General features: G+C 35.7%; 1 protein-coding gene across 23 annotated transcripts in view; it reads right to left on the bottom strand.

The window, feature by feature from the left end:
• Window positions 1-26,247, bottom strand: part of NAALADL2 (N-acetylated alpha-linked acidic dipeptidase like 2) — a 1,369,567-nt gene that overhangs the window by 348,999 nt on the left and 994,321 nt on the right. For 20 of the 23 annotated variants that reach the window (XM_017006077.3, XM_047447876.1, XM_017006075.3 and 17 more), the window contains one exon: window positions 14,178-14,321. The exons of the other annotated variants lie outside the window; for them this stretch is intronic. In XM_017006077.3, coding sequence (XP_016861566.1) covers window positions 14,178-14,321 — 144 coding nt within the window. The remainder of the gene's footprint in view (window positions 1-14,177; window positions 14,322-26,247) is intronic. 23 annotated transcript variants of the gene reach the window in all.

Raw genomic sequence — 26,247 nt, 5'->3', positions numbered from 1 at the left:
CACATTCTTACTGGAAGTAGCTAGAGTGGTCATTGCCCAATTCCCAACAGCTGTTGGGGTGTCGTGATTAGAGGGGGGATTGAGAGGTGAAGCCAGCTGGAATTCCTGGGTCAAGTGGGGACTTGGAGAACTTTTCTGTCTAGCTAGAGGATTGTAAATGCACCAATCAGCACTCTGTAAAAATGCACCAATCAGCACTCTGGGTCTAGACAAAGGATTGTAAATGTGCCAATCAGCACTCTGTAAAAACGCACCATCAGCTCTCTGTGTCTATCTAAAGAATTGTAAATGCACCAATCAGCACTCTGTGTCTAGCTAAAGGATTGTAAATGCACCAATCAGTACTCTGTAAAAATGCACCAATCAGCACTCTGGAAAAACGCACCAATCAGCATTCTGTGTCTAGCTAAAGGATTGTAAATGCACCAATCAGCACTCTGTAAAAATGCACCAATCAGCGCTCTGTATCTAGCTAAAGAACTGTAAACCCACCAATCAGCACTCTGCAAAATGGACCAGTCAGCACTCTGTAAAATGGACCAATCAGCACTCAGTAAAATGGACCAATCAGCAGGACGTGGGTGGGGACAGATAAGGGAATAAAAGCTGGCCACACCAGCCAGGAGCAGCAACCTGCTTGGGTCACTTTCCACACTGTGGAAGCTTTATTCTTTTGCTCTTTACAATAAATATTGCTGCTGCGCACTCTTTGGGTCTGCAACACCCTGCCTCTTTGGGAACATGATCATCTCTTTTGTCCCAGTGTGGATGCTATAGTCCCACTCTAATTTTACCAAGACCCATAACTTCTGAATATGCGGCAAACAGAGTACCAACTCTTTTGCTTACTTCTCTGATTGTTGATTCTGTCTTCAGTTTTGCTTTTGTATATTTGGTTATATTTTACTTTATTTTTTGAGAGCTGCTTTTAAATTTCCTTCAGAGATCTTAAACATTTGTATGGAAGGATTTCAAATTATTTTATTCTGCTTTCTACATCTCGAGGTCTAGAACTATTTAAAAGAAGCACAGAGGTCAAAGAAAATAAACCTAATCTTTTGCTCTGAGAAGAATGCTATATTTACATTGGATCCTTCCAACTGACAGAAGGACTTCCTTATGTATCACTAGGCAAAGACTAGGTCAAAATAATGACATATTTACATAGCAAAAAGCTACTTTTCATCTCTTTATTTACATCCTCATGCATGTGCTGATCCTGATGCATATTGTTTTATATTATTCCATACTCACATCTGAAAATAAATATGCATAGAGTCTGTTTATTTTCACTAGAGTCAGCACCATGATCACATTTTAAATTTTAATAATAAATATCAGAAAGTCTTGAATAAACTTGCTCTAAAGACACACCTGCTGCTGTTGGCATTGCTAATTTGAACAATCCGTTGGTAAGGCAATATTACTCTTCATAGCAATAACAAAAGCAATCCTGTACTTAGAAATTTATCCTACAAGAATAATTCAACTCTCTGTAGTATAATCTGTAATAGCAATAACAGAAAACAACATAAACATGTGAAACAGGGAAATGACTTAGAGAATTGTGATAAAATGTGTGGCTGTTAAAAATGTAAAAAGAATATTTAGAAACATGGATATGCTGTAAGTGAAAAGAATACAGAGAGATATACGTAATGATTAAACTTAGGTAAAAACGTGTATGATTATGAACAAACTATGAAAAAGGAGAGATTAAATAGTGGAACAGAAATTGGGTTTAGCAGGCCTTCCCATATCTACTGGAGTGAGGCACTGTTGTAAAAAGTCTTGAACAAACCTGCACTCTGGGGTATGTCTCCTCCTCCAAATCCCCAGGGATGGTGGAATTAAAACCTAGAGAGATTGTCTCCTCCTAGTGTAGCACCTGTTAATATCGAACCCTTTTTCACTGTAGAAACTTTTAGAATTTTTCTCTTTGTGCTTTTTGAATTTAACTATAAAATATATACGTGTGGTTTTTTTTTCCTTTTTTTCTGGAAAAATTATTATTACTTTTTTGACCATTTTCTCTCTCCCATTTTTTCCTTCTTCTAATATTGTTTCTAGAACTCCATTTTAATCGACTGTATATTTTACTCGTACTTTTGTATTTCTCTATTTATCCTTTTCTACGCCTCTCTGGATCTAGAAGGTCAATCTGATCTTCTAGCTCTTGAATTTATTCTTCAGTTACATCTATCTATGGCTGTATCTATCTACCCACCCTATTACTATATTTCTTTCAGTTATCTTATTTTCCATACCTATTATTTCCTCTCATTTTTTAAAATGTTTTCTGATTTTTGTTTTATATTGCTAACATATTTTATTCTCTTTTTGAGTTTAACTTTAATCCTTATTTTAAGTTCTTATACCATGTGTTCCAATATGGTAACTTCGGGTGGTATATGTATTTGTTGTGCTAATTTTCTTTTATGGTGGTTGTGGACCTCAGGATCTAGTTATTTTGGCCTGTGGTCCAGCATGGTATATCAGGGCCCAAGGATGGTGGGGATAGTGTCTAGGTGTGTGTGTGGGCACATGTGTACCTCTGTGTGAGAAGGCCTGAATATGAGGAAGAAAGCAACTACCAGGGGAAATAGTGCAATGAGATAAGCCATTGAAGCAAAGTGAGAAGGCCATCTGCATTTAAGAGCTGAATAGCATATAGTGTTAGAGCCTGGGTGGAGTGAGGAAGTTAACCACATTGTGGTAGGGGCAGACAGAACATTTGATATAGAGTGAATAGCCTGTATGTACCAGTGCCTAGGGTTGGATCCATTGTGAAGGGAGTAATGGCATCAATGGATTACATGCAGAGGATCTAATTACCTAAGTAAATATATTCCATTTAATGAGAAGGCAATTTCTAACTGCTAGAGAAAAGATTTACAAACATGGAAAGATAAATAAAACTTGATATTGATATGTTCTCATGGTTTTATATATATATAATTTATTTTTATTATATTTATAAATTATAAAATTTAATATATTTTAATTATATATTATATATAAAACCAAGAGAACATATGAATTTATATTAATTTATATATTTATATATAAAACCATGAGAACATATCTATATATGTTGTTGATTGTATATATATCTATATATATCCATGAGAACATACATATATACAAAACCGTGTGTATGTGTGTGTATAACACCCATGCATATAGATTTAAAAGTAAATACAGATATAAATCTGAGTGTATAGATATATTTTTATATACTTACATACAAATGTAATATTAAAATATAACTATATTTTCCTAGTTTTGCTCACTGAGTAGTATGGAGAGAAACAACACTTCAATAGCAATAGATGAATCCAGATCTGGTTTTCTAGACACTATTCTCCACTCAAAGGACCTAGAGTCTGGAGAATTGGCTGATAACAGCTGGCACAGGAAAAGTACAAGATGATTTGGTACATCTTATGGTGCCAAAAACTAAAGAAATACCCGAAGAATAATGAGTACATGTCAAAGGACACAGAACCCAGCTGAAGTTGCTATTACTGCCTAACATTTGACAATTTGAGTATTAAGATACAAATAGTACTGGTTTATAACCTATTGAATCTATTATGAATATAAATCCTAATTAAGTAATGACTCAATACTGGCATGTGTAAATTAAAAAAATCATACCAAGAAATGAATAGAAAAAAGGAAAAATCTCTTCTTTACAGTGGAATTTCAACTAATAAGTGTAAAGATGATAAAATTACAGCTGGAAGTGGTGGCTCATGCCTGTAATCCTAAAGCTTTGGGAGGATCCCTTGAGGCCAAGAGTTTGAGACCAGCCTGAGCAACATAGCAAGATCTTGTCTCTACAAAAAAAAAAAAAAAAAATTAGCCAGACATGGTGGTGCATGCCTCTAGTCCTAGTTACTCAGAGACTGAAGCAAGAGGATCATTTGAGCCAAAGAGTTCAAGGCTGCACTTAGCTAAAATGGTGCCACTGCACTGCAGTGACAGAGTGAAACTGTCTTAAACACAAAATAAAAAAAGGAAGTTGGAAAGTCACCATTGGCATCATCATAGAAATGACTGGGCAACACGTATCAGTGAACACAAATACTAGTGGCTAAAGGTAGCAGTGGTTTGGGGCAGTATGCTACATGATTTCAAATGCTTACTGAGTATAAAAGAAAAAAATTATAAAGTAACTTCAATAGGGAGACCTGGCGGCCACCACCTTAATCAAGTGATCATAGGTAGTAGCAGCACCAGAGATGGGACAAACTGAAGCAGAGTGAGAAGGACATCTGCTTTTAAGAGCTGAGAAACATACCTTGTTAGAGCCTGAGTAGAGTAAGGAAGTTAACTACATCATGGTAGGGGCAGGTAGAACATTTGATGTAGGGTGAATAGCCCATATTAGACAGTGACGAACGTTGGATCCATAGTAATGGCATCAACTGATTACAAACAGGGGAAAAAATTGTTCCCTGGTACATGGTAATATCATGCACCAGCTCATAAAATGCAATAGGAAAAACATAGTCTCACTCTGTAGTATTACTGTTAAAGATTCAGAGCTTGAATATCCTCATGAGATAACATCAGATAGACCCAGATTGGAGGGACAATACTGTAGATAATTGGTATGGAATCTTCAAAGGTAGCAAAGCAAAGGAAGTCAAGAAAAGACAGAAACTCTTCCAGGTTGAAGGAAATGGAGGATTTGACAACTTGATGCAATACATGTGCCTAGTTTGGACCCTATTGTAATTTAGGATGTTACTGGGAAAAATGGAAAATGTTTAATTGAGTCTGTGGAATGCATGGTAGTAATGTATCAATGATTAATTTCTGATTGTGATGGTTGCATCATCTGTGTAGGAGTATGTCATTGTTTGTCAGATGATTCACTGACAAAGTCAGAGATATTCACTATGTTTGTAATTTGCTCTTGAGTAGTTAAGAAAAAATACTTTTACTATTGCAACTTTCTGTACATTTATTTCAAGATTTAAAAAAAATTCACCGTTGAAAGTTGTAATTAGAAACTCCTGGAGAACATTTAGGGGCAGTTAATTATTCAAAAAATTGCTGCGTGTGTGTGTGTGTATTGGTAGTTAAAAATTACATTTCCAGCTCACATTTACCAATTTCTGCCTTTCATGTAAAATTTGATGACAGCTTTAATTATGACATGTGAAGTTTAAAAGATTTCAAGATATAAAAATGTGTTCCACTCAGAGAACATTTGTATTCAAATAGGGTGAGGGGTGTCAGAGCTAAGAGACATGAAATAGCTGCCTCTCTCTATCCCTTAATTTCATCATGTGCAGAGAAAAATAACTGCTGCCAATTTTATGGTCCAGAGACAATTCTGTCTTGCATTTTTGTTGCAATTATTAAGAGCCAGATTAATTGGTTCCCAATCTTCTTCTTCCGTGATAACTAACAAAGCTTCATTTTCACCTGTATTGTGAATAATTATACCAAGTATCTAGAAAAAATTCCAATCTTATTCAAAGAGATTTGAAGAATAACACTTGCTGCTAACTCTGAGTCTCAATTCCAATAAGTAAGCATTTGTTAGTTTCCTAGGCATAGTTCTTCTAGAGTCTCTAAGTTTAATTGAATATTTGTCCCATTATATATACTTGAGTCCCTTTCTTGTCCACCTGGCTCTAGAAAATAACTTCTTCTAGGATTGGACTTCCAGATTGTTCTTTCATTTTCTTAATTTTCCTGATCCTCACTGTGACTAGAATCTGTTCTAGAGGCACAGTTTTGATGATTGAGATGCTGTGGTCTGCAGCTATCTTTCCTAAATGCCAACTGTTTGCCGGAAAATCTGAATATAAACTGCTTCTAGATTCTCTGCCATCATAACTTGTAAACTTTCAAGTACATATAGCTATCCCCTGATTGTCTAATACATGCGCACACATTTTCACATCCATATGTGCAAGTATTCATGTGAGCTTGCATACTTTTGGAAAAACAATTAACATTGAATTAAATCGTATTCTTTTTATTTAGTAAAATTATGTAACTAGGAAGACATTTTAAATAATACGAATATGAGAAAAAATAACTTTTACTCTCTTTGTATCCCTCAGAAATGTAAAAATTGACAATTTTTTCTCATCTGTCTACCAAACACTTCCACAAATCATAAATCATAAAATGAATCAGAAGACTAATCACCTGAAGCACTATCTTTGCTGCATATTTTCTATTTGTTCATTCACATCTATTTGCTACCCTCCATTAACCTTACCCCAGGAGAAGTACCTCTAAGAACTACATCTACCTGGTTCTTTTATTCTTTGGCTTCGGGTTTAGTTTACCCAATTGAAGGCATCAACAAGAGGCCAGCAGGTTGGGTTAAGGGAAAGACTGGAGTATTTATTTTCCAGTACCCTCCCTGGCTGTCCACTTTATGCAGTGACAACTCTGCTTGACTAAAAGCCACAGCTCTTCTCTTACAGCTAAAGTACTTGCCCGGTCCTACAACTGCTCTCTCTTCTTGCCCTTTCAGGTTTACAGTAGTAGCAATTACTAGACCTGGTTTAGAGGCAGTAGCAATGGTATCCCTTTTCTGTTTTGCTCTACCTGTCCACACCATGTGCATAAGCACTTGATTAAATTCTCTTAAATTGCACATTTTTTAGTGTATTCTTTTTTTCTTGATGCAAACCTGATTTATATGCCAATCAATCTACACAATTTTCCAAGTCCATATTTGCTGCCAGGAAATAAATGGATGGAAAGGAAGAGAAGATTTTGCTTACTAAAAATATGGTGGGCTAGGATATCAGATTAATCCACTCACTGATAATAACTTATAATGCCAAATAAAATACAAAACAAATCTTGTTAACAGCATCTAAGAATTAGCAAGAAATTAAGAACTTACTAGGTCAAAATTTAAGTTGTGATGGGAACCCAGGTAAATAAAACTACGAGGCTATCTTCAACCTAAGGGAATTTGGTAAACAAAGAGAACCCTTTAATACTGATGGCCTCGTGAGATGCAAAGGTCAGAAGACAAAGTCCTGGGCTTACCAAAACTGGGATGAAGAAGGTGGTTCTAAAAAAAGATTCTTCCTCTATAAAGTAGGAACCCTAAAGTTCTGAACTTCCCCCTCCCTCCCAAGAGACTGCAAAGAAAGTTACCTGACATTAAGCAGAGCAGGGGCATGGCATCTCTAAGAAGTTGTAATTTCTTAGATTAATTATAAAAGAATACAAAATGTATTTATAACTTCTAAATAGTAGAGAGAAAAATTTAATGGCAAACATCTAAATCTAAAGAAAAAATAAACCTCAAGGAAAACAATATGTGATTCAAAGAAGAAACCCTAATTAAGATGAAAACTATAAGCCTAAGTACATATTAATCACATTAAATGAAAGGGACCAAATGCTCCTATTAAAAGACTATCAGATTGCATTTAAATTGGAAATTATTTGCTATTAATGAGACATATATAAAGGGAAGATACAGGAAGGTTGAAAGCAAAAAATACGTAGCATAAAGATACCAATACAAACAGTGCTCCAAAATTAATACTCAAAACAAGAATTACTACACATAAGGAATGTCACTTCATGTGATAAGTGGTTCAGCTATTCCGGAAGGTATGATATATTTGAATGTATAAACACCGAAGAAATAATCTCAAAACATATAAAGTGAAAATTGACTAACTACAAGGGAAAATGGACAAATTTATATTCACAGTAGGAGATTTTAACATGAATAATATACAGAATATTTGAACAACCTGATTAAGGAACTTAGTCTAAGTGGCATGTATAGAATAGACAATTACACAGCGTACATTCATTTCAAATACTCATAGAACACTGATGATACCCTGAACCATAAAGAAAACCACAAATAATTCAATTATGAAGAGGAAACAACATATTCTAATGAAAATTCAGTTGCTTATGCTCTGCTTATGATATTCTCGGAAGAATATCATATCATAATGCCAAATAGCACACAAGTGCCAAATGCATGACAGAGTCATAAAGAGAGGCTACGTCCAACTTGAATGAAACTCTAAAGAGCTTTTGGTGGAGAATATAACACTTGCACTGAACCTTAAGAATTTAGAGGGTAATGGGCCTTTACAACTTAGAGACACAGACATGCAAGACATATTTGGATAATACTGAACAGAATAATAAGGAGAAATATTGGATACTTGCAAGGAATAGCAGAATATAGAAACACAAAGGCAGTGAGGAATCCGTGCAAGTTTTTGTTTAGTAAATGACAGTGTTGGTCCATAACATAAAAATATAAAGATAGGGTGTACGCTAATGGATTTTATCACACATATAAACTCCAAAGTTTAGTTGGAATTTCTATAATTTGTAAAAAGTGACAGGTATTTGAAAAATGATATGCTAAGAAAATAAGAAGCTGTAAAATCGTTGAGAAATATTGAAAAAGTAGAAAACACTTTTTAAAGTAATTTTGCTTCCAAGTGTACATCTCAGGTTGTCTTTAAGTCTTTTAGCAAACAAACAAAAACTCTAGACTGTACCCCAGCTGAATCATTTCTAAAATCAAAACTGTTGAGACAGAATCCTGGAAACTTGAGAAGTTCTGGGTGAATGTCAGATCTGCGTCACCTTTGGTAAGCCCAGCCTGCACTCCCCAGGAAACAGAGAATTGACTCTACTTTCTGTGGACTTTGGACAATAGGTTCCCCCCTACGCTCACTCCATTTAAGATCCCTGATGAACAGTCCTTCAAAGTGAATTCTGAAGCTCTTTTTCCTTTTGTCCAAGGACTTCCGACTGGCAGCTCATGAATGTTGATCTTTAGTTCTACGGAATACTCCGTTATCAGCTCCTACCTCAGACTCCTAGGTTCACTATGTAACTGACTGCTTGAAGACAGTTGATCTGGCATTTGTCTCCACACATATCAGTTCTTCGTAAAGAGTTCTAGCTCCCTGAATTATTCAGATAAAGAACAGCCATCATATCTATATGCATGCTATATGGAAGCTATCTGCACAAATTAAAATTTTCCCCATTTCTTTTGAATATTTTCCTCCATGTTGATTGGAAAAGCCTAATCAATATTATTAAAGCCCACTCTGCTCAAAAACAAGTTTTTAGTTTTCCCTTTCTTTTTTTTCTTTTAAGGCCTACTAAAAAATACTTAGTTTTGTTATGGCCAAAAAGGTTTGTCATTTGTTATGTTGGAACTTAAAGGAAGCTATGTCATATAAGATCATACTACTCCATTGTCTACCAAGATAAATTGATAGGTAGGTGGATAGAGGGAGAGAAAGACATAGCAAGAGAGAGAGAGAGAGAGAATCTGAAGACATTCTTTAATGAGAATAGCATAATGTACTGGATCTTCTCACATGGAGCAATTCTGAAGCTGCTCTGAACACATTGATTAGTTTCATATGTAAGAATACACAATGTTGCATTCAATTGTACTAACATTTCCTTTTAATAGAAATTTCTTGAAAAGCTAAAAGGCACCATTTGCCAATAAATATTTGTGTAACTACAACTTGTAGATAATATGTTCAATACATGCTTTTAAATTTGTACTCAAGAAATGCTAGTAATGCATTGTTTCAAGTAACTACTAACAGATTAGGAAGATAGATTTTCAAAATGCATTAGAAATACGTAAAAATTATAAACAAGATGATCGGTTAGACACTATGTCATTTTAATAATAAAAGTAATTTTCATAAAAATATAGAATTGTAAATAAGGAAATAATAGGAAATAAGGAAATAATAGCACTTGAATATCCATTTGAAGAGACATCACCCAAATTTATTTATGTAAAATTTTGTCATCACTGATAAGTTTTAAGCAACATGTAAACAATTATTTTTTCAAAATAAGTGAATCATCAAATATCTTAAAATGTTTATTTTTAACTTGATTCATTTATATTTTTCACGCTAAATTACATTAATGGATTTTAAAATTTCTTCTTCCCTTTTAATTATTATAGTCATGAATTTTAACCACAAGCTCAGATTGATATGTGAAAATTAAGCTTTCCATGTTTTGACTGAACTTCAAAGACAAATATTGACAATACGTTGAATGAATGGGTCAGGTCTACAAAGAAAAAGACCATTCAAAATGAAATGGAGTCAGTATCCAATTATCTAATCAATGCAAACAATCTATTTAAGGAGGAACTTTTTTCATGATTCTTTTTCCATTCCTTATACTTTTTTTTTTAGTTCTCGCAGCGATACAAATGCCCAGCTGTCCACTTCAATTTGCTGAGCCTATCTCATGCATGAAGGCATTTAATTCTTTTGTTTAGTTTAAGTGTTATGATTTGTATCAGTTAGATAGCTTTTAGTTGCAAGTAACCAAAAACCAAATATAAATAGGCTGAAACAAAGGAGTAATGTATTGACTCATATATACGAAAAGTTCAATAGATTTGGCTTCAGACAAGGCTTTATTTAGGGCTCTAATCATATAAATAAGGGTTTCTTTTTCTCTCTCTCTTTCTCCGTCTTTCCCCACACCTTCTCTCTATATCTATTTCTATCTTTCTCTCCCCTTTACTCATCTGACCCCTTCCTATGTTGACTTTATTTTCAGGTAGGATGCATTCCCATGGTCTTAAGATGGCTAGAGAAAGATCCCAGAGCTACATGGTTTCTTGTTCACTTTTAATGATGAAGCAAGTCATTACTTAAAGTTTGTAAACTGAGTCTTGGCCAGACTTGTACCATCCTTGAACTACACTTGCTTTCTCAACATCCATTTGCCAATTTCCCTTTCTGAACTGTTGCCAGCATTTCCCATCAACATTTTATGAGTAGCTTTGGCAATATCCCTAGAAATAGATTCTGGTTGACTCAAGCCTATTGACAGACTACATCAACTATATTATGATGATTGGTTCAAGGATAATCCAAGTCTGGACAAACAGGACCAAGACTCAATTTCTGAAATTTGAACAATGACTCACTTTAACACTAGAGGTGTTAAATGTAGTCCTTGATTTGGTAGTAGAAAAATTCTATTACATTTTTGCCTGGATTTTAGAGAATTTTGATTTAGTGTGCATAAAGGGTTAAATGGGTAAGATAAATAATTAGTGGATTCTCACACATATTCTTAATGTGCCCATTTCCAACTTGTTGAGTGAAGATTTTCTGACACTAAAGATCAGGGCTATACTTAGAAAATTTAACAATATGTTATAATTATAATATGTTTTAAATTATTTCTTTTATCCTTAAATAATAAGCATTGCTGTTATTGCTTAAAATTATAGTACCTCATTCAGTATCCTTTTCATGTTTCATCCTGATATACATCACTGTGAATAATTAATGCATTTTATAGTATCTATGAGGAAACTTAATTATCTCAGAAAAACTATGAGCATTATTGTCCAAAACATTAGGGTAAGGGGTTATAATCCTACATTAAATTCAGTTCAATGTAGGATTATATGTTAACATAGAATTATATATTTAGATTTTCCAATACTGATTTACCAGACTCAGTGAGACTGTTCAATCAGTATTTGGAAAATTTAAATGTATATTCTGTATTTTAAAAAATAAATAACTCATTATAACATGAAAGGTCTTCTCAATGATTTAAATATATCTTTTTGAATTTTAAAAAACATAACAATTTTTCTAAAAACATAACAATATCCATGAGAACAATTTCATATGTCATAATCCCTTAGAAAGTAGGCCTATCTTTCTTGCTTTAACATGGGTGTATATCTCAACTCTTCTTGTAGGCTTCATGCCTGTTGTTAATTTATTATGGAAATGCAGCTGGAGAGTGTCATCTTGCTTTGCAAGGACATTATTCTGCATATTAAGAAGAAAATTAAGGCTGGGCGTGGTGGCTCATGCCTGTAATCCCAGCACTTTGGGAGGCCGAGGTGGGCGGATCACGAGGTCAGGAAATCGAGACCATCCTGGTTAACATGGTGAGACCCCGTCTCTACTGAAAATACAAAAAATTAGCCGGGCTTGGTGGCGGGCACCTGTAGTCCCAGCTACTTGGGAGGCTGAGGCGAGAATGGTGTGAACCCGGGAGGCGGAGCTTGCAGTGAGCCGAGACTGTGCCACTGCACTGCAGTCTGGGAGACAGAGCGAGACTCTGTCTCAAAAAAAAAAAAAAAAAAAGAAGAAAATTAATGTTAGGCCAGGCACAATGGCTCATGCCTATAATCCCAGCACTTTAGGAGACAAGCAGGAGGATTGCTTGAGCCCAGGAATTTGAGACTAGCCCTGGCAACATAGTAAGATCCTGTCTCTACAACAAGATTTAAAAGTTAGCTGGGTGTAGTGTCATGTGCCTGTAGCCCTAGCTACTCGGAAGGCTGAAGCAAGAGGATCACTTGAGCCCAGGGGTTTGAGGCTGCAGTGAACCATGACCATGCCACTGCACTCCAGCCTGGGCAATAGAGTAAGACATGTCTGCATTTTTTTAAAAAAGTAGTTATTTGATAACAAAGATACTTCTTAATAGTTACATAACATTTTACAACATACAAAAAAATTAATCCAGTTATGGTGGCTCATACTTATAATCCTAGCACTTTGGGAGGCTGAGGCAGGAGGACCACTTGATCTAGGGAGCTCAAGACCAGCCTGGGCAACTTAGCGAGACCCTGTGGCTACAAAAATATATACTTTTTAAATTAGTCTAGTGTGGTGGCACACACCTGTAGTCCTAGCTACTTGGGAGGCTGAGGTAGGAGAATTGCTTCAGCTTAGGAGTTTGAGGCTGCAGTGAGCTATGATTAAGCCACTTGCACTCTAGCCCTGATGACAGAGCAAGACTTTGTCTCAAAAAATATATAACATAACATATAACACAAAAAAATTTTAAAAAAGAATTGATACACATATCATACTTTGATTCTCACAACTATTTAAGATGATAAAGTTGTAGCTATTTTTTGTAGCTGCAGACATAGAGGCTTCCAGTGGGAGGTGACATAGGGGAGGGCATGGAGCTAGCACAGAGACTGTCAGCTCCTTGAGGGCAGGACAGTGGCTGGAATGTATTGGGGGCTCTGTATTGAATTAATTAATTATTTAAATCTGGGCTTAAATATGGTCTTTTACAAGTCCAGTGCCTCTTACAACTACACTATTATTTTGGTTTACATATTTTACATTACATATTTTAACAAACAGAGCCCATAATCAATTTGTTGGGCTCAGAATAAATGGCAGAAACAAAACAAAACAAAACAGAAAGCTCCTCGAGTGCTTCTGCACTCCTGCTTTGAGGACATTGGCTTATTACTGTTTTCTAATTTTCCCACCTTGTTTAATTGGTAATCAGTTTAGAGGCTCTCAATCTACAGGATTTTGAAAAGCATATGTCCCTAACAGAGAAATCCTTAATGTATTCAGATTTTTTTGTACATATTTCTTCAACATATTTTCTTTTTTGTATGCTTTTGTTGTCAAGAGAAAAACAGTTGAGATAAAACATGACTATTGAACCCAGAGGTCTGGACACAAAAAAGAGCCCACAAGGTGTAGTTCCTAGCAAATAGATACAAATTTAACAAATTGTAAAGAGAGGCTTTTCTTTAGAACCCTAATGCTGAGGCTGGAGGCAGGAACAAGATGCAGCCCAAGGCTTTCATCCCTCCACAGGTAGCTTAACTACTTCAGTTTCATCCTACGTGGTCCAACAAGGCCTGACAAACGGCACTGCAGTACAAGAAGCATCTCTCGGGCGATGATGCGCATAGACAGAGGGATTTTTTAGTCAATTGCAGGAATTAGGCTTTAATGCTTTATACTAAAAGACTTCATACCCCAGATAGTTGCCTGCTATCCACTGAATCTTGGCAGGCAATGAGACTGCTGAAGCTGAAACCGGGAAGCTATGTTAAGCAGATTTTCATGAATGTACAAAAATGCTTTATTTATAAAGCTACTTTTCTTTGTAGCAGTTCAAAATGGTTTCTTTTTCTAATCTCTCATTTTGGTCAACTCTCAGTCTCTATCAAAATTACTTTCCAAACATGCTGCTAAAGAGCCACAGAAGAAAATAATGCTCACTTCATCAAAAGTCAATGTTTTTGAAAAGAATAATCCTACATACATCAATTTAGGAGATTAAAAATGATCATGGTCTTTAAAAAAACTGTAAAATACAGAGAACGACATTAAATACTTTACCATTATTTGGAAGCTCTAGAGAGCTACACGCTTCATTTTTGGTTCTAGCTTTTGGCGAAGAGATCAGTTTTGCAACGAGGGGTGCAGAGATGGGCTGCACTAATAGAGAGGTGAGGTTTGATCGGCTTTGTCTAAAACTTTCATCTGTATTCAAAAGACAAAGGAAGATAATCCTTAGTAAACAGAAATTTAAAACACTTAAGGAAAAGTTATCTGTAATAAGTATTTAAATTATGACTGGTAAGTTTATATTCATTCACTTGTTTATCTACTCCTTAGTTATACCCTGTTTACTTATTAACATTATTTGAGATACCTCATAAAAATTTAGTCCAAATATAATGACATATCCTAGTTAAAGATGGCAGATTGCACATATGCACTTACCTCCATTGTCCCATAAAACTCCACTAAAATGATGACAAAAGAATGAGAAAGCATAAAGGTACAGGGGCCAGGAGAATAGATAGTAATAAGATTCTAGTTGGAAAGCAGATATGTAAGTGTCAGTGATGTAAGACCTGAGGGGGAAACCTAAAACCTAAGTTCTTAGTAGGGAAGCTGAGAATGCTGTTTGTACCACCGAACAAAGAAAGGGTTAGAAATTGTCAACACCAGGTACCTATTAAAATAGGGCTGCAAAAGAGACCAGAAACAGGAGGATTTGATGAAATTCTGATTGTGAAATGGCTTGTTCTCTGGAATCCTCATGTACCCAGTCAGTGTGGGTGCCTGTTCCTTCCTCACTTCAGCAGAAAACTGAGAGTGAGAGAGTGAACAGGGAGACACCAAATACAGCGAGAAACATCACACTTTAAAGAGGATGGTGTCGACCTGGTGTGGTGGTTCATGGCTGTAATCCCAGTACTTTGGGAGGCCAAGGCGGGAGGATCACTTGAGGTCAGGATTTCAAGACTAGCCTGGCCAATAAGGTGAAACCCCGTGCATAATAAAAGTATAAAAATTAGCTGGGTATGGTGGTGCACGCCTGTAATCTTGGCTACTCAGGAGGCCGAGGCAGGAGAATAGCTTGAACTCGGGAGGCAGAGGTTGCAGTGAGTCAAGGCCATGCTACTTGCACTCCAGCCTGGGTGACAGAGTGAGACACAGTCCCCCCCGCCCCCCCCAAAAAAAGGTGTCATGATTGCCTGGACTCCTCAGATGTTTTCTCTTTTGGCATACAGAAACCTTCTCTCCAGGTAGGGTAATAGAAGGTTCACTCTTAGCAAATATGATGAGATCAATAGAAAATATCTAAAAATACCAAAAACAGGTCTATTAATAAAAGAAACAACTCACCCACAACATCCTCCATTGAAATTCATCAGTCAATAAATCCCAGTCATATACAGAACTTCAAATCAACTTAATTTTGTTATCCTTAAGTAAGAGATCTCAGCCAAGGGCAACCCTAGGCCGGCCCCTCGGCAGCAGACCTAGTGAGGATGATGGCAGGCGGTCAGCAGAGCTGGGGAGGGAGGTCTCTAGGAAGACCAGATTAGTGAGAATACCAGATGTGTGCTAACATATTGAGAGAATATTTACAGTAAGATCAGAGTGTAAGGGTTTGAAGAATGTCTAGCTATAAAGAAAAATAAGAAATCTATAAAGGGAGACAATTATTAGCTTAAAGGGACCAAAAGTTGTGCAAGAAGAAATTTAATCATTGAACAATATGTATAATATTTACATAGTCATAATAATATAAATAATGACTGTTGATTTAACACAAAAATGATCCTTTTTAGGAAAAAGGAGAAAAGGGAAAAAGGCAGTGATGTACATGAATACTTGTGAAAGTTAAGTCTCTATCTCTCAAAGTGGTAAGTCAATATAATGGATAAAACTGAAAAACAAACTCCAACACATAACCGAGCAGAAGGAAGGTAAATATAAAAGGTAAGTAGCTACTAAAGATGTTAAAAACAATTACATATTTGCCCTGGGGAGTTAAAAAGAGAGGAGAGAAGAGACACAGGGTAGAGGAGGAGAAGGTGACATTTTTATAAATTAAACCTGTAGAAATATTTGACTATTTACATGAACTAAATGCATCTATAACTTCAAAAAATAAAAAATAAAAATAAGATAAAACAGTTATAATAACACAAGTACAAAAAAGTACACGAATAGAATAGAGATAATGGAGAGAACAAACTATGCTTAAGGAAATAACGAATACTTATTCAGTTTATATATTTTTACTGACTCAGAAAAGGAAATACCCAACAGAATGACTCTATCAGGCAGCCTGTGATGTTTTCAAATGCAGTGCTATATTTTTCAGAACTTTTACTAGGGAAAATAAGTGCTAACGGTTTTTCTCAGAATTTAATTGACGGGACTTCAGAGGGCGCAGAGCTTGATGATACTGGTATCCAGGCTACAGGAGGAGGTAGATTATAAATAAGAAAATATGTTACACGAGTGTTTCCTTAATTTATCATCTGGGAGACCACAAGGCTAAAATATTATATTTGGTTTGGCCTATGGCAGCCGTGGAAGTCATGGCTTTGAAGAAAAAATAATAAAGATTTAAGCTTAGAATCCATTTTGTTATATAAGAGCAGTGCTGGCCTCATAATTTCATTGCTCCCTTATATAGATAACAGTGCATTCGGACCACAGCGTAGGTCATTATTTCCCAACAGTTTTCATATTCATGGAACCACAAGTGGCTATATAATTTGCAGGACCCACAGTGAAATGACAATGTGGGACCTCTTGTTTAAAAAGTATGAAGAATTTCCATATGGCAATAGGAGAGCATTAAATCAAGTGTGGGGCCCTTTGGAGAGGGGACTCTGTGAGACTGCACAGGTGGCATGCCAAGGTACCAGGCCCTGCATAATTTATGTAGAAGAATGCTAATAGTTGTACAACCTACTGAGGTAAACCAAAGGGGATTTTCAGACCATAGGAGGCTGCTCTCAGCCAAAAGTGATGAGCCTCAAGTCTCCTACTGCTCCAGGCTGCACTTGAGGACAAATTGATTCATGTTTCAAAGCATAGACAATGTCTGTACAAACGCTGGGATAGCCATCTGGTTTTCCCAGTATGTGTTTTCTCTCTCAGCCATTACCTTTGGAGCTTTTAATGTGCATGAGATAATGAAATAATATTGATGCACAATGTGCTGTCTATCATTTCGAAGTTTTCATGATTGCGGAAACTTCTTAAGATGCTGTATGATTGTATCTCTCCCCAGTTCAAACACCAAACTCTTTAGCTTGCCATTCAAAGCCCTTCATGATCCCAAACCTTATACTTCAATATTACTTCCTATCAGTTTTCTTCATACATCTTAAGCAAAATCTTAAGCTATACCCTTACATACTCCATGAGCCACGTCCCCCATGTTTTTGCTTAAGCCATTCCTCTTACTTCACTTGTTTTTCTCATGCATCACATGCATCTAAAGTACTCAGTTCCTTCAAAGCCCAACTTACAAGTCATCTTCTACGTGAAGCTTTCTCTGGCAACCTCAGCTCTGTGTGCTATATCTGCACCTTTTTTTTGCAATGCTTGCTATTTTCAGTTAACATTATCACTATGTAAAATCACTGTTTGTTCCCTCTGAACTATAAATTCTTGAAAGCAAGGACCAAGTCACTTATATCATTGTATGATACACAATGCCTGGCACCTTGTCAGGTACATAACGGGAGTTCAATAATTAATAGTAGAAAAAAGAATCAACAATTGTTTGAAAAATAATCTTAATGCCTATGTCTTAATGGTTTTCTGAGTCCTGCCAAAATTGAGCTGGTGTACAATTGAAGAATAAATTATAATTCTATGCTTGCTATATAGTTATGCTTTCACCCTGGCTAACTAATACTCTCCCCCAGCAGACATATTAAATAAACTTTCAAAACCCGTCTATCCCTATCAATTCGCTGATTATCCTTGCCCTAAAATTAAGTTTTGTAGATAAAAAGTCTTTAAATAAATAAAATCATCTTTAAGATATATTTATGTTAATAAAAAATCAATAACTGCATTCCATTTTTCTCTAGAATGCTCTATTAAGCTTATGAAGCAATGCATTTAAATGTTAAATATGAGTGAACCCTAAACCATAATTGAACATACCCAAATCTTTGATTTTTTTGTGCTGCATGACTGATAGACTTGCATTAGTTTTGAAATATCTAAAGTAAGTGCCTCATTAATTTTTTACCTTCAGCTTAATGGAAATTTGACACACAGTTCACTTCTGAGAGCAGATACTAAAAGCAGGACTTTACAAGACACTAAGATTAAATTATAGACAGAAGTTATTTTTAAAACAAACCTATGTCTATTGAAGAAGAGCTGAGAGAAGAGTTTTATCTTCTTACATTATTAAGAGGTTTTGAACAAAGCTAAACACATGTACTATTTTTATTCAGTGATATTTTAAAGCGTATTTATGAACTATAAGAATCCATTAGATATGAGATGAAAATTAAATGGATTATGTGCCTCGAAAGAAAGGATACCATACAAAAAAGACTGCGACACTACATTTTAGCACTTTAACTTTTAGCTTGCAGCATTTATATCATACTCTGTACCTTGTTTATGCTTCATAAAGACTGAGGGGGACCAACTTTTATTTTAGTAGCTAGCTAATTCTCTGTTCATGTTATGCACTCTTTGTAATCCAGATAAAGACTCAAACAGACCCATTACGTCAATAATTCAATCCCTGATTCAATGCTACATGTGCATAGTATAATGAGAAAATTGGATAAACAAAGTCCTAAGCCTGACTCCATCATTGACTCACTGTTTGAAATGTTACAAATAAATAATTTCACTACGATACTATTGTCATCTCTACCAAGGTGACACCAAAGTGTCTTCACTATTGAAATAAAAATAGTATATTAGTTCAGAGCCATAGAGCCAAAGTTACTGTGGGTGAAATTTAGAAGAAATTAGCATTAAAATAAGTAAGTTGTGTTCTAATTGTACATCCTTAATTCTATTTCACGCTTTTTCAAACTGTTGATGCCCACTTCAATCTCATCTGGTTGGCTGTGTAAAGAAAATATGCTCTGTTAGTAACCAGTATATATATATATACTTTATATGTGTGACAAGATGGGATACTTTTAAACCTAATTGAAAAGTCAGTGTTGGCCAGGCGTGGTGGCTCACACCTGTAATCCAAGCACTTTGAGAGGTCGAGGAGGGTGGATCACCTGAGGTCAGGAGATCGAGAACAGCCTGGCCAACATGGTGAAACCCCATCTCTACTGAAATTACAAAAATTAGCTGGGCATGGTGGCATGCGCCTGTAGTCCCAGCTACTCAGGAGGAGGCTGAGGCAGGACAATCGCTTGAATCTGGGAGGCGGAAGTTGCAGTGAGCTGAGATTGCACCACTGCACTCTAATCTGGGCAAAAGAGCGAGACTCCATCTCAAAAAAATAAAAATAAAAATAAAGAAAAGTCAGTGTATTCAAGTGCCAATTAGCCAAACAGCATCAGGGAAGATAAACCTTCAGAGATGAGAAATCTCACATGCTGAGATGAAAGCACTGAGAGGTTAGATAAGATAAAAATGTGCTGGTTAAATAAAAGAGGGGCCTGGTGTGTTTTAATGATGATGGTGAATGAGAAGAATAACACAACTTCAGAATTTAGGAGTATACACAACTCAACCCTGTGCACCTCGTGTGTGTGTGTGTGTGTGTGTGTGTGTGTGTGTGAACATGAGATCCTTGCTACTCACTCAATGTTGTACAGATCCTTCCTATTCAATGTGTAGTCCTCAGACAAGCAGCATCTGCATGAACTAGGACTTACTAGGAGTGCAGAATCCCAGGTCCCACCCCAGGTCTTCTGAATCAGAATCTATAGTCTATCAAGATCCCCAGGTGATTTGTATGCACATTAGATCAGCACTGGCGTAAATCATTACGTAGTCATCCCTTGGTACCTGCCAGCAATCGGTTCTGGGAGCCCTTGTGGATACCAAATTCTGCATATGCTCGAGTCCCTTAAATAAACTGGCCTAGTATTTTCATATAACCTATCCACATTTTCTTATATACTTTAAAGCATTTCTAAATTACTTATAATACCTAATACAATGCCTACATATCATTTAATTCACATGAATTCAACATAGTACTCATCACGGAGAAAATTCAAGTTTTGCTTTTTGGAACTTTGTGGGATTTTTTTTTCCCCAAATACTTTCAATCTGTAGTTAGTTGAATCCATGGATGTGAAACACCTGGATATGGAGAGCCAATGGTATATTTTTTATAGTGTAATTTATATAGTTTATAAAATGACTAATACATAAAAAGAAAAATGAAAAGAAAAAAAACTGTATTTGCTCACCCTCCCCCAAATTAACTATATCAGTAAACCACAAATCAACAGTTCTCAGTCTCCTTCAAAATGATTAACATGTCTCTTTATAAGCTATTTCTAAATAACAAATTTGAAATGGACATAGAGGAAGTCCTAGCCAGAGCAATCAGACAAGAGAAAGAAATAAAGGACATCCAAACTGTTAAAAAGGAAGCCAACTGTCGCCCTTTGCTGATGACATGATCATATAAGTAGGAGACCCTAAAGACTCATCCAAAAATCTCATAGAATGGGTAAATGAATTCAGCAAAGTTTCAGGATTAAAAAATAAATGTACACAAATCAGTAGCCCTGCTATACACCAACAGCAACCAAGCTGAGAATCGAATCAAGAACTCAACCCCCTTTACAATAGCTGCGAAACAAATTAAATACTTAGGAATATACTTAACCAAGGAAGTGAAAGACCTCTACAAGAAAATCTACAAAACACTACTGAAAGAAATCATCGATGACACAAACAAATGGAAACACATCCTATGATCATGGATGGGTAGAATCAATATTGTGAAAATGATCATACTGCCAAAAACAATTTACAAATTCAATGTAATTTCGATCAAAATACCACCATCATTCTTAACAGAACTAGAAAAAAAAATTCTAAAATTCATATGGAACCAAAAAGAGCCTGCATAGCCAAAGCAAGACTGAGCAAAAAGAACAAATCTGGAGGCATTACCTTACCTGACTTCAAACTATGCTATAAGGCCATAGTCACCAAAACAGCATGATACTGGTATTAAGACAGACATATAGATCAATGGAACAGAATAGAGAACCCAGAAATAAAGCCAAATACTTACAGTCAACTGATCTTCAACAAAGAAAACAAAAACGAAAAGTGGGGAAGGGCACCGTATTCAACAAATGGTGCTGGGGTAAGTGGCAAGCCACATGTAGAATAACAAAACTGGGTTCTCATCTCTCATCTTATACAAAAATCAACTCAAGACGAACCAAATTAAATCTAAGTCCTGAAACCATAAAAATTCTAGAAGATAACGTTGGGAAAAAACCCTTCTAGACACTGGCTTAGGCAAAGACTTCATGACCTAGAACCCAAAAGCAAATGTAACAAAAACAAAGATAAATAGATAGAACTTAATTAAACTAAAATGCTTCCGTACAGCAAAAGAAACAATCAGCAGAGTGAACAGACAACCCACCAAGTGGGAGAAAATCTTTGCAATCTATAGATCTAACAAAGTACGAATATCCAGAATCTACAAGGAACTCAAACAAATCATCAAAAAAAGAAAAAAAAGAAAAAAAAACCACAAACACAAGAAACACAAGAAAAACACAAACAATCCCATCAAAAAGTAGGCTAACAATATGAAAAAACATTTTTCACAAGAAGATATACAAACGGCCAATAAACATGAAAAAATGCTCAACATCACTAATGATAATGGAACTGCAAACCAAAACCACAATACGATGCCACCTGGCTTCTGCAAGAATGGCCATAATCAAAAAATTAAAAAAAAATAGATGTTGGCATGGATGTGGTGAAAAGGGAACCCTTGTACGCTGTTGGTGGGAATGTAAACTAGTACAACCACTATGGAAAACAGTATGGAGATTCCTTAAAGAACTAAAAATATATCTACCATTTTATCCAGCAACCCCACTCCTGAGTATCCACCCAGAGGAAAATAAGTAATTATAAAAAAAAAAATACTTGCACATGCATGTTTATAGCCACACAATTCACAACTGCAAAAATAAGGAACCAGCCCAAATGCCCATCAATCAATGAGGAAATATGGTATGTGTATACCACGGAATACTACTCAACAATGAAAGGAACACAATAATGGCATTTGCAGCAACCGGGATGGAATTGGAGATCATTATTCTAAGTTAAGTGACTTAGGAATGGAAAACCAAACATCATCTGTTCTCACTCATAAGTAGTAGCGAAGCTATGAGGACACAAAGGCATAAGGATCATACAGCGGACTTTGGGGACTTGAGGGAAAGGATGGGAGGGGGTGAGGGATAAAAGACTACACATTGGGTACAATGTACACTGCTTGGGTGATGGGTATACCAAAATCTCAGAAATCACCACTAAAGGACTTATTCATATAACCAAACACCACCCGTTCCCCCAAAACCTATCAAAATAAAAATAAATACATAAATACATAAATAAATGAATAATCAGATGGTCAGAGAGCACTTGGTTTTGTTTTTGTCTTTTACTCAAAAATAAACTTGGTGGTGCAAGGATAAAAATTGCATTTATAACACTTTATTTCAGCCATGATTAAATATTACAATAGCTAAGTGACTTGACTTACATTTTTCATTTCTTGGTTTTTAACTATTATAATTTATTATAATAAAAGACTGACAAACTAAAAGTATTAATACTGTGGACTTACCAGAGAACCAAACAATCAGAGCTGAAAAAAACTGAGATTTTAAAACACATTTTCTGCTGCACTTTTATGAAAATGACCCAAACATCAATTGAACAAACTGATACCAGTGATGTTATCCTGGAATATTTTATTTGACTTTCTCCAGAGGGCTGCCACTTTGACAGAAATCAGACCATTAAATAACTGGCACAAATGTTTTTTCATTTTTATTTTAGCTCACTAAATTTACAATTATTTTTCTGAAATGACCAGTACACTAAATTGGTTAGTCATTTTGTTGTCCTTGTGAATACAGCTGATCCTTTATTATTTCAGTATCTTACAGCCCACTGTTATAAATATTACCATTTTCTATCAAGCCTAGTCAACGTCAGCAAAGTATTGTTTAGATTATTATTTAAAATGGAAACGTACTTTAAAAATGCTTTGTGCTATGCATTATTCTCAGAATAAAAGGAAGGGGATCAGTGACAATTTTCTGATGAATTAATTACTGAAGTTTAAATGAATAGTTTTGTTTTGTCTAATTGTAAGCCTAAAATTCATGATTCACGATATAAAATTTGAAACCACGAAATTGTAAAAATAAAGACATAGATGTTCACATCTTCTCATTTCATTGGTCCACCCCTAAGCAAAAACATCTTGCTATGCTCCCTAGTAAATATCATAATGCTTTAATACTTAACTAATGTGTCATAACAACAGTTATATTTATATTTACATTAAAGGGAGTGGAAAGCAATATTCCCATTTGTAAAGCAAAATATGCATTCTGATACTAAAAGAATATATAGATTATGCAGAGTATAATTTTACTTTTTAAAAAGTACTACACATTGATCTATATCTCTGTTTTGGTACCAGTACCATGCTGTTTTGGTTACTGTAGCCTTGTAGTATAGTTTGAAGTCAGGTAGTGTGATGCCTCCAGCTTTGTTCTTTTGGCTTAGGATTGACTTGGCAATGCGGGCTCCTTTTTGGTTCCATATGAACTTTAAAGTAGTTTTTTCCAATTCTGTGAAGAAAGTCATTGGTAGCTTGATGGGGATGGCATTGAATCTGTAAATTACCTTGGGCAGTATGGCCATTTTCACGATATTGATTCTTCCTACCCATGAGCATGGAATGTTCTTCCATTTGTTTGTATCCTCTTTTATTTCCTTGAGCAGTGGTTTGTAGTTCTCCTTGAAGAGGTCCTTCACATCCCTTGTAAGTTGGATTCCTAGGTATTTTATTCTCTTGGAAGCAATTGTGAATGGGAGTTCACTCATGATTTGGCTCTCTGTTTGTCTGTTGTTGGTGTATAAGAATGCTTGTGATTTTTGTACATTGATTTTGTATCCTGAGACTTTGCTGAAGTTGCTTATCAGCTTAAGGAGATTTTGGGCTGAGACAATGGGGTTTTCTAGATATACACTCAGAAATAACGCCACATACCTACAACTATCTGATCTTTGACAAACCTGAGAAAAACAAGCAATGGGGAAAGGATTCCCTATTTAATAAATGGTGCTGGGAAAACTGGCTAGCCATATGTAGGAAGCTGAAACTGGATCCCTTCCTTACACCTTATACAAAAATCAATTCAAGATGGATTAAAGATTTAAACGTTAGACCTAAAACCATAAAAACCCTAGAAGAAAACCTAGGCATTACCATTCAGGACATAGGCATGGGCAAGGACTTCATGTCCAAAACACCAAAAGCAATGGCAACAAAAGCCAAAATTGACAAATGGGATCTAATTAAACTAAAGAGCTTCTGCACAGCAAAAGAAACTACCATCAGAGTGAACAGGCAACCTACAAAATGGGAGAAAATTTTCGCAACCTACTCATCTGACAAAGGGCTAATATCCAGAATCTACAATGAACTCAAACAAATTTACAAGAAAAAACAAACAACCCCATCAAAAAGTGGGCGAAGGACATGAACAGACACTTCTCAAAAGAAGACATTTATGCAGCCAAAACACACATGAAAAAATGCTCATCATCACTGGCCATCAGAGAAATGCAAATCAAAACCACTATAAGATACCATCTCACACCAGTTAGAATGGCAATCATTAAAAAGTCAGGAAACAACAGGTGCTGGAGAGGATGTGGAGAAATAGGAACACTTTTACACTGTTGATGGGACTGTAAACTAGTTCAACCATTGTGGAAGTCAGTGTGGCGATTCCTCAGGGATCTAGAACTAGAAATACCATTTGACCCAGCCATCCCATTAGTGGGTATATACCCAAAAGACCATAAATCATGCTGCTATAAAGACGCATGCACACGTATGTTTATTGCGGCATTATTCACAATAGCAAAGACTTGGAACCAACCCAAATGTCCAACAATGATAGACTGGATTAAGAAAATGTGGCACATATACACCATGGAATACTATGCAGCCATAAAAAATGATGAGTTCATGTCCTTTGTAGGGACATGGATGAAATTGGAAATCATCATTCTCAGTAAACTATCGCAAGATCAAAAAACCAAACACCGCATATTCTCACTCATAGGTGGGAATTGAACAATGAGATCACATGGACACAGGAAGGGGAATATCACACTCTGGGGACTGTGGTGGGGTGGGGGGAGGGGGGAGGGATAGCATTGGGAGATATACCTAATGCTAGATGACGAGTTAGTGGGTGCAGGGCACCAGCATGGCACATGTATACATATGTAACTAACCTGCACAATGTGCACATGTACCCTAAAACTTAAAGTATAAAAAAAAAAAAAAGTACTACACAGGTAAAGTCTTTGTTAATATTAATTTGGGTCTTCCTTTCCAATTAGCTTATCCATAGGTACGGATCATCAGTAGGAAACAGGCTCAAAAAAGGTTAGAAAACTTTCCCCATGATTAAAAATATTTTTCTTTTATGTTTAGACATATAAACTCAAGATTTATATTGGTTAGGTACAATTATTTGGGGACAAAGGACTATAATATATGAGTTACCATCATTCTCTTCCCTCCAACAAATATGCTTAAATATGTATAAAATTTTGGCTATGCAGTTTTGGAGTTTGTGCTAAACTTGACAGTCAATTAAAGGATAATTTTTATTATTATGTTAAAATGTTTTGATTAATGTGTAGTTAAGCAGGTGTTAAACTAGATTTTGGCCATTATACAAGACATAAGCATGGTACTTAATTATATGTTAGTTGAAATCTAGTCTGTCCTATAATTGAATTGATTATATTTACAGAATTATGAGAATATATTTTCAAACTTACTTTAAATGGTTTCTATTGCTTTAGTACATATTGATATAGTCACATC

Source organism: Homo sapiens, chromosome 3 (genome assembly GCF_000001405.40).
Source record: "Homo sapiens chromosome 3, GRCh38.p14 Primary Assembly".
Classification (NCBI taxonomy): Eukaryota; Metazoa; Chordata; class Mammalia; order Primates; family Hominidae; genus Homo; species Homo sapiens.
This window is presented reverse-complemented; position numbering and strand designations above follow the sequence as displayed.